Raw genomic sequence first — 10,443 nt, 5'->3', positions numbered from 1 at the left:
GGATCACGAGGTCGGGAGATCGAGATCATCCTGGCTAACACGGTGGAACCCCGTCTCTACTAAAAAATACGAAAAATTAGCCGGGCGTGGTGGCGGGCGCCTGTAGTCCCAGCTACTCGGGAGGCTGAAGCAGGAGAATGGCGTGAACCCGGGAGGCAGAGCTTGCAGTGAGCCGAGATGGCGCCACTGCTCTCCAGCCTAGGGGGACAGAGAGAGACTCGTCTCAAAAAAAAAAAAAAAAAAAAAAAAAGAGAGAGAGAGGTTTAATGGACTCACAGTTCCACGTGGTTTGGGAGGCCTCACAATCATGGCGGAAGGCAGAAGGCAGAAGGCAGAAGTCTTACGTGGCAGCAGGCAAGAGAGAAAATGAGAACCAAGAGAGGGGGGTTTCCCCTTATCAAACCATCAGCTCTCATAAGACTTATTCACTACCATAAGAACAGTACGGGGGAACCACCCCCATGATTCAATTACCTCTCATCGGGTCCCTCCCACAGCACATGGGAATTATGGGAGAGAGTTGGGTGGGGACACAGCCAAACCATATCAGCAGTGTTAACTAAACTTCCCTGAGGATAAGAATCACCCGGGCAACTGCTAAAACAACACATACTTCGTCCTTCTCAGACCTGCTGAATCTGCTGTCTTCCAGGGAAAATGATACCATTCACAGTTGTGCTAAGGTGAGTCTCATCATCAGGAAAGCAGGGGCATGCTGCGCATTGTTCACAATTTTGTCTTACCATGAGAATCATCTGAAGAGCATAAATACTGATGCTTGAACCCACCCCTCAATTAAATCAGAATCTGAAGAGGGCCATTATTATGTTTAAAACACTCCCCAGGTGATTCCAATGGGATACAAGAGTTGAAATCCCAGAGAGATGGTCAGACATGAAAAGAGATACTTCTTTCTTCTGGGTTCATACAGCTCTTCAACTCTTTCTCACGGCAATTTTTGCATATGGCTTGATTTACAAATACTGGTATACCTGTTTTTACAATAGCATTGTAGCCTTCAAGGGCAGAGACAAGATATAACTCCATCACTCATAATGCTTAGCACTGCGATACTGAATAAATATCTATTTGCTCTGTGCATATAGGCATTCAAAGGAAATCCCTGGCAGCTCTGCTCCAGGTCAAGAAATATACCAAGGACACTGCATGCAGATTCACCCAATGAAAGGGACTTCCTCTCCATTTGTTTTATGAATTATCAAGAATCACCCAATGCAAAGCATTTTGTTCATTAATTGGAGTCTGGGGAGCCTTGGCCCTCCAGGTCATTGTCCTATCAACAAGCCATTCCTGGTATCAGCCCTTTCTGGGCAGCTACTGTCCTTAACCTCCCCTAATTCTAGAATGCTCCTTAGTGACTTGCTTGATCAAGATCATGTGGTTTTGAGACCTCGAATGCTAGGTCATAATAAGGGAGGAGAACATCTCTCATATTGTCTTATGCCCAATTTCTGCCTCCAAAGAAAGAAAAAGTAAAAACTAAAAGGCAGAAATGGAATCCACAAGCAGACAGCCCGGCGACACACCCTGGGCCTGGTAGTTAAAGATGGACCCCTGACCTAATCGGTTATGCTATCTACAGATTACAGACATTGTATAGAAAAGCACTGTGAAAATCCCTATCCTGCTTTGTTCTGATCTAATTACCGGTGCATGCAGCCCCCAGTCACGTACCCCCTGCTTGCTCAATTGTCACGACCCTCTCATGCGCACCCCCTTAGAGTTGTAAACCCTTAAAAGGGACAGGAATTGCTTACTCGGAGAGCTCAGCTCTTGAGACAGGAGTCTTGCTGATGCCCCCGGCCGAATAAACCCCTTCCTTCTTTAACTCAGTGTCTGAGGAGTTTTGTCTGCGGCTCGTCCTGCTACAATAAGAATTCTTGCAGCTGCCATCTGGAGTTCTGGGAACACTCACGGCCTTGAGCTGCCAGTTGGAAGTCCAACTACCCTGAGATCACCCTGCTCAAGAAACACATGAAGAGTCCCTGAAATTGCGTGAAGAATGAGATGCCTGGCCACCTCCCAGAGCACCTTCTAGAAGGTTGAGTGTCAAAAGATCTAAAGCCACCTTTAATCTGCTAAAACACATCATTTCAAAAATATCAAGATGATGCCTGACGTATAATACAAAGGAAAATAAAAGTTAAGTAATTTATAATAATACATATTTCAATATTTTGATGCCTCAGGCAAAACACAAAGTAGTAGTCATAAAGAATTCTGGCTGGGCGAATATTTTTTAAAAAATTTTTGCATTTATTTTCTTTTAAAATATTTTGTATTTTAATAGCTTTTCGGGTATATCGCGCCTGTAATCCTAGCTCTTTGGGAGGCTGAGGCGGGCTGCCACCTGAAGTCAGGGATTCGAGACCAGCCTCGCCAAAATGGTGAAACCCTGTTTCTACGAAAAATACAAAAATTAGCAGGGCGTGGTAGCACACACCTGTAATCCCAGCTACTCGGGAGGCTGAGGCAGGAGAATTGCTTTAATCTAGGAGGCGGAGGTTGCAGTAAGCCGAGATGGCACCACTGCACTCCAGCCTAGGCAAAAGAGTGAGACTCCTTTTAAAAAAAAAAGGCTTGGGAGGCTGAGGCGGGTGGATCACTTAAGGTCAGGAGTTCGAGACCAGCCTGGCCAACATGGTGAAACCTTGTCTCTACTAAAAATACAAAAATTGGCCAGGCATAGTGGCTCACGCCTGTAATCCCAGCACTTGAGAGGCCGAGGTGGGCAGATCATGAGATCAGGAGATCAAGACCAACTTGGCTAACACGGTGAAACCCCGTCTCTACTAAAAATACAAAAAATTAGCCAGGCATGGTGGCGGACGCCTGTAGTCCCAGCTACTCAGGAAGTTGAGGCAGGAGAATTGCTTGAACCTGGGAGGCGGAGGTTGCAGTGAGCTGAGATCGTGCCACTGCACTCCAGCCTTGGTGACAGAGTGAGACTCCATCTCAAAAAAATAAATAAATAAAAAAGAACGGGTGTATATTTACAATTTCTAGAAATACAAAGCTACAAATGCAGGCTCAAATGGGAGTGTTTTGCTAGCAACCCAAATGCCATGGATGACACTGCCTTTGGTGACTTTAGAAGATGAAGGCCACAGTTTTGTATAGTTCATAACAAAATAAAATAGAATATTTCCTGATTTTACATGTTAGGTACATTTCTGAAAATTTCAGTCTATATTAAAACAGTGTAAACAAATGCCCTGTGTTTAGGAGTTCTGGACGTGGGTAAGATGGAGAAAGCATATCCTATCCTGTCTTACTCACTGAATGCATTTATAAAATCTGCATGGAATAGCTGTTGGAGGACTCTAAAAAGTAAATAGTAGCAGATGGATTGGTTAAAAAGGCCAGAATTTAGGAATCCCCCTTTCAGTTGCTATAGCCAGAACTAGAGAGCTTTTTTTTTTCTTTTTTTTTTTTCTTTTGTGGGTTTTTTAATTAGAATGTTGAAGGGATAACAGATGTAAAGGCCAAGATAAACAATAAGATGGACAAATTGACACTGCAATTAAATATTGAAATTTATAATGATAATTGAATTAGTTAACCTGATAGCATTTTTAAAAAACTTGTGAGCACAATACTTGCATTATGATAGTTATTCTTTACTTAGCATTATGAAATAAGCTTTTGCTTCTTGATGCCCTAACACTTAAAAAAGCCTAAGTATAAAAAACAAAAATGGAATATGTAGAAAACTTTTCTAATCTCAAGAAGATGATTAAATATCAATTAGATTGAGCTCTAGGTTTTTTTTTTTTCTTTTATTATTATACTTTATGTTTTAGGGTACATGTGCACATTGTGCAGGTTAGTTACATATGTATACATGTGCCATGCTGGTGTGCTGCACCCACTAATTCGTCATCTAGCATTAGGTATATCTCCCAATGCTATCCCTCCCCGCTCCCCCCACCCCACAACAGTCCCCAGAGTGTGATGTTCCCCTTTCTGTGTCCATGTGATCTCATTGTTTAATTCCCACCTATGAGTGAGAATATGCGGTGTTTGGTTTTTTGTTCTTGCGGTAGTTTACTGAGAATGATGGATTTCCAATTTCATCCATGTCCCTACAAAGGACATGAACTCATCATTTTTTATGGCTGCATAGTATTCTGTGGTGTATATGTGCCACATTTTCTTAATCCAGTCTATCATTGTTGGACATTTGGGTTGGTTCCAAGTCTTTGCTATCGTGAATAGTGCCGCAATAAACATACGTGTGCATGTGTCTTTATAGCAGCATGATTTACAGTCCTTTGGGTATATACCCAGTAATGGGATGGCTGGGTCAAATGGTATTTCTAGTTCTAGATCCCTGAGGAATCGCCACACTGACTTCCACAATGGTTGAACTAGTTTACAGTCCCACCAACAGTGTAAAAGTGTTCCTATTTCTCCACATCCCTCCAGCACCTGTTGTTTCCTGACTTTTTAATGATTGCCATTCTAACTGGTGTGAGATGGTATCTCATTGTGGTTTTGATTTGCATTTCTCTGATGGCCAGTGATGATGAGCATTTTTTCATGTGTTTTTTGGCTGCATAAATGTCTTCTTTTGAGAAGTGTCTGTTCATGTCCTTTGCCCACTTTTTGATGGGTTTGTTTGTTTTTTTCTTGTAAATTTGTTTGAGTTCAAGACTAGAGAGCTTTTCTTGGAGCTCAAACCAGAGGAGAGTTTCCTGGTTTTGTTCCTTCCAGTATTGCCCTTTCCAGTATTCCCCAGACCTGGCCCCAGGGCAGTACTAAACCCAGAAGTGGGCCCCACTCATGGAGAGAAAGAGCTTCAGGGAAAGCACTCTAGTTCTGGCTATAACAACTGAGAAGGGGATTCCTAACAGTCAGAGAGTTTAGGGTAAAATATGATTTTTCTTTTCTATTCTATAACTTGCTTTATTTTTCATGGGCACAAGATCTTTAATAACATACAATAAATACCTTTGGCACATTTGCTACAAATATTTCCCCAATGTTTCACTGCCCATCTGACATCGTTTGACATTGTTGAGTAGGCAAATGTTGCACTATAATTTCTTCCACTGATAAGACAGCTTGTTTTGCCCTTTCACAGAGTTTGTTTGATTTTTAAAAAATATTTTTGTATTTTAATAGCTTTTGGGTATAAGTGGTTTTTGGTTACATGGATAAATTGTATAGTGATGAAGTTTGAAATTTTAGTGCACCATCACCTGAGTAGTATACACTGTACCCAATATGTAGTTTTTTATCCTCACTCCCCACCCCTAGTCTCCATGGTTCCTTATATCACTATGTTTGCCTTTGCAGACCCATAGCTTCGCTCCCACTTTCCAGTGAGAATATAGGAAAAAAAAAAAAAAGAAAAAAGAAAAAAAAAAGAATATAGGGTATTTGGTTTTCCATTCCTGAGTTACTTCACTTAGAATAATGGCCTCCAGCTCCATCCAAAAAAGGAGAATTGTTAACAGAGAGTTTGGAGTAAATTGCCATTTTTCTTTTTTTTTTCCCCCTTCTTTTCTTTATTCTCTGGATTCCAAGCCTTCAGGCAATTATGGTCATTTGATTTTCAACAAAGATGCAAAGCCAAGTCAATGGAGAAAGGATAGTTTTAGTAATTGGTGTTGGGAACTTTGGTCATCCATATGCAAAAAAAAAAAAAACACACAAAAAAAACTTTATGATTTGTACCAAAATTAACTCAAAATAAATTATAGATCTAAATGTAAAACACAAAATGGTGAAAATCTTAGATGTGTTACACAAAGACTTATTTTCCATGACATCAAAAACACAAAGTAATTTTTTTTTCTTTGAGATGGAGTCTCGCTCTGTCACCCAGGCTGGGGTATAATGACACGATCTTGGCTCACTGCAAGCTCCATCTCCCTGGTTGAAGCAATTGTCCCGCCTTAGCCTCTCGAGTAGCTGGGATTACAGGCGTGTGCCACCACGCCTGGCTAATTTTTGTACTTTTTAGTAGAGATGGGTTTCACTATGTTGGCCAGACCTGTCTCGAACTCCTGACTTCAGGTGATCTGCCCGCCTCGGCCTTCCAAGGTGCTGGAATTACAGGCGTGAGCCACCGTGCCCAGCTGGAAAAAGTAAATTAGACTTCATCAAAATTAAAAAAATTTGCTCTGCAAAAGGCACCATTTCTTTTTTCTTTTTTCTTTTTGTTTGAGACAGGGTCTCTGTCACCTAGGCTGGAGTGCAGTGGCATCAAAATTAAAAAATTTTTGCTCTGCCGGGCGCGGTGGCTCGCGCCTGTAATCCCAGCACTTTGGGAGGCCGAATCGGGCGGATCACGAGGTCAGGAGATCGAGACCATCCTGGCTAACACGGTGAAACCCTGTCTCTACTAAAAATACAAAAAATTAGCCGGGGGTAGTGGCGGGCGCCTGTAGTCCCAGCTACTTGGGTGGCTGAGGCAGGAGAATGGCGTGAACCCAGGAGGTGGAGCTTGCCGTGAACCAAGATCGCGCCACTGCACTCCAGCCTGGGCGACAGAGCGAAACTCCGTCTCAAAAAAAATTTTTTTTTTTTTCTCTACAAAAGGCACCATTTCTTTTTTCTTTTTGTTTGAGACAAGGTCTCTTTCACCCAGACTGGAGTGCAGTGGTGTGACATTGGCTCACTGCAGCCTCAACCTCCTGGGCTCAGGTTATTCTCTCACCTCTGCCACTGAAGTAGCTGGGACTACAGGCACATGCCACTACACCTGGTTAATTTTTGTATTTTTCGTAGAGGTGAGGTCTCACTTTGTCCCAGGCTGGTCTCTAACTCCTGGGTTCAGGCGATCCTCCCACCTCGGCCTCCCGAAGTGCTGGGATTATAGGTGTGAGCCACATGCCCAGCAAGACACTATTAAGAGAATGAAACGAGGCTAAAGACTTAGAGCAAATAATTTTCAAATTGCATATCCAACAAAGGACTTATATTCAGAATATTAAAAAAAAAAACTCTTCCAAACCGAGGAGTAAGAAAACAAATAACCCAATTTGAAAATGCATAAAAGACTTAACACTCCACTAGAGAGGATATGCAGATGGAAAATAAGCAAGTGAAAAGATGTTCAACAGCATTAGCCATTAAGGAAATGCAAGGGAAAGGCACAATGAGATACCACTACACACCTATTGGGATGGATAAATTTAAAAATACTGTCACTCCTGTGCTGGCAAATATGTGGATCAATTAGAACCCTCATATGTTGCTGGTGGGAATGCAAAATGGTATAGTCACTCCAGAAAATAGTCTAGCAGATTTTTATAAAATTAAACACGCAATTACCATCTGACCCAGCAGTCCCACTCTTAGGCATTTACTCTAGAAAAGTAAATATTTTGGCTCATAAAACCGATATATGTACATTTTACTGTAGCTGTATTCATAATAGGCAAAACCTGGAAATAATCCAAATGCCCTTCAAGGGATGAATGGATAAACCAACTGTGGTACGTCCACGCAATGAACTGTAACTCAGAAATAATAGAAATGAAGCATTCATTCTTGCAATAACTTGTGTGAAACTCAGAGGCATTATGCTGAGTAAAAGAAGCTGCTTTGAAAAGGCTACATACTGTATGATTTCAATATATACAATATTCTCAAAAAGACAAGACCATCGTAAGGGATGGCAGATCAGTCATTGCCAGGTTTGGGGTTTGGGGTCACAGGAGGATGACTGCAGATAGATAAGCAGAGGTGGCGTTTGGTGGTAAGGTAACTGTCCTGTAGCCTAGCTGTGTAAGTAATTACACATACACACATATCTATACATGTGTGAAAACTGAACCCAAAAATGTCATTCTATTGTTAATTTAAAAAATAAGATTGAAAGATACCTTGTGTTTGTATGTAAAACAGGGTTAGAGTCTAGGCTTAGGTAATTTTTTATTTATTTACATTTTTAGATAATTTTTAAACTGTTTTTTTTTTTTTTTTTTTTTTTTTTTTTTTTTTTTTTTTTTTTTTTTACTTACAGGAATGACCAGTGAGAAATTTAAAAGTTGGATAGAATTAAGGGATTGTTGTACTTTCCTGTCTCATTGCAGCATGTGTAGCCAGGGCTGCAGGTAGCATGCATGGGCAGCTGTATTTCAATTGTAAAAGTTCACCTTCTCTGGGCAGACAAATCATAAAAAGGCATCCCCTTTGGATGGAAGATTTCCAACATGGAGCCCTTCACCAAAATGGACGCAACTTTCTTCTTGGCAAGTGGAACTTTCAGCCCCACTCACTCCCTTGCTGAGTGCCTTTGTGTGGTACAAAAATTAACAACTACGTGGAGGGGAGCCCTAAATCTAGCAACCCTGGCTCCTGACTTCAAAATGCCAGCAGCAGCCCCAATCCTTATGTCAAAACAAACAAATAAATTTGACACTCCACGATTTCCCCATATGTCCTTAAGATCTCCCCTTGAGGCCGGGCGCAGTGGCTCATGCCTGTAATCCCAGCACTTTGGGAGGCCAAGGCGGGCAGATCATCTGAGGTCAGGAGTTCGAGAACAACCTGGCCAACATGGTGAAAACCCATTTCTACAAAAAATACAAAAATTAGCCGGGCATGTTGGTGGGCGCCTGTAGTCCCAGCTACTCAGGAGGCTGAGGCAAGAGAATTACTTGAACCCAGGAGGCGGAGGTTGCAGTGAGCCAAGATTACGCCATTGCACTCCAGCCTGGGTGACAAGAGCGAAACTCTATCTCAAAAAAAGAAAAAAAAAAAAGATCTCCGCTTGAGAACAGTATCTTGGTCCAGAGGGTTTTGTACACAACTCGTTAAGTTAGAAAGCTGTTCCTTGAATTAACTCATTTTAAGCTTTTTTTTGTAGATAACTTGTGCTTTATGTGTAAAACACCAAGCCCAGGGCCTGGCATATAGTGTGCTTTTGATATATGGAATTTGTAAAAGCTATAGCAGGAGCAAACTGAGATTTCCTATAGGCAAATGCCATCACCTTAATGAATAAACAGAATTTTAGGCCAATAGAAGATATCGTTTTGAGTAGGAAAAGAGGAGTGGGGAAGGAACCACTGGACTCTCCCACAAATCACATTCCTCACCTTCCATAGTGGTGGTCCTACCACCTTGGGAAATCTTTTTCTCCTCTCTTCCAGAAGCTGCTATTGTATATCATCTTCAAAGGTCAACTAATCTTTGATAATTGCAGATAATTAAGAGTTGGATATATTAGGTCCAATGGTTGATTTTGATTATTCATTTTTAATGCTGAAAAATGAAAGTATTTCTCTATTTAATAAGTTCATTGCTATGGCAACCCCAACGAAGTAATCACAACCTTGTAAATCAATAATAATAAGGTGTATGTAAAATACACATTTATATAATTATATTTGTTCCATATAATTATATATAATTATACCTTAGATTTAAGTATTCCTTTTATTTGATAATGTGTGTTTTATGGAAAACTACATACTTTATTCGTGAGATGGGAACGCTCCCTGGATGGCTGAATGGGAGTGAGAGGAAATATTCTACCCTAGGATCCCCTAAAGTGCCTTCAGATGTGTTTTATAGCATTCATTATGCTTTAAGAAAGGTTCACTAGACACGAATAGCAATAGAAACTGTGTTGCACATTTCCCTCCTGCATTTTTACACCACAGAAATGTGGATCTGTCTTAAAAGTGATAGCATGATAATCATTATTGACAGAGAGACCATGATAATGGTCATTGCCTGTGAACATATGACCTTGGTTGTTATTCATAGTTGAATAACTGGACAACGGACATCCCTGGTATTTAATCAATAAACCATTTAAGATCCACACGTGGGAAGAGTATGAGTCCTGGTGTTGTCAGAAAACATTCCATTGATACCTTCTGATAATATCAGGAAAGTGTCAGCAATGGATGAGGAAAACCCAATTTGTTACATTTTCCTTTTAGGGATCATACTCTTGATGAAGAGTCCAAGAACTCTGCCCCGTCCTAGGCCCCAAAGATTTTCCCTTTTTTCTGCCTTCTTTTTCCCTTCTTTTTAGAGATAGGATCTCAGTGCTGTCACCTAGGCTGGAATATAGTGGCACAACCATAGCTTACTGTAACCTCCAACTCTTGGGCTCAAGTGACCCACCTGTCTCAGCCTTCTGAGTAGCTCAGACTGCAGGTGCACATCACCACACCCAACAATTTTTTTTTTTTTTTTTTTTTTTTAGAAACAGGGTCTTGCTATATTACCCAGTCTGGTCTCGAACTCCTGGCCTCAAGCAATCCTCCTGCCTTGGCCTCCCAAAGTGCTGGGATTACAGGCATGAGCCTGTAATCGTCAAATAGTTTCAGTAAAAATAAATCGAGAATACTGCCTTCATTTAAAAACCTGAGAATTGTTCCTTCCTCTTTTATTCTTCTGAAGAGAGTGTATAGAATTAGTGTTAATTCTTCTTTAAACATTAGGAGAATT

General features: G+C 41.0%; 1 annotated feature.

Moving 5' to 3' along the window:
* Window positions 283-342: an enhancer, noted in NCBI's record as "active region_7926". NCBI's record gives its function as "activates an Ori minimal core promoter by ATAC-STARR-seq in GM12878 lymphoblastoid cells {active_cell/tissue: GM12878}" and the evidence as "EXISTENCE:reporter gene assay evidence [ECO:0000049][PMID:35858748]".

Source organism: Homo sapiens, chromosome 13 (genome assembly GCF_000001405.40).
Source record: "Homo sapiens chromosome 13, GRCh38.p14 Primary Assembly".
NCBI lineage: Eukaryota > Metazoa > Chordata > Mammalia > Primates > Hominidae > Homo > Homo sapiens.
The sequence above is the reverse complement of the archived record's forward strand: the minus strand, read 5'-3'. Positions and strand labels throughout refer to the sequence as shown.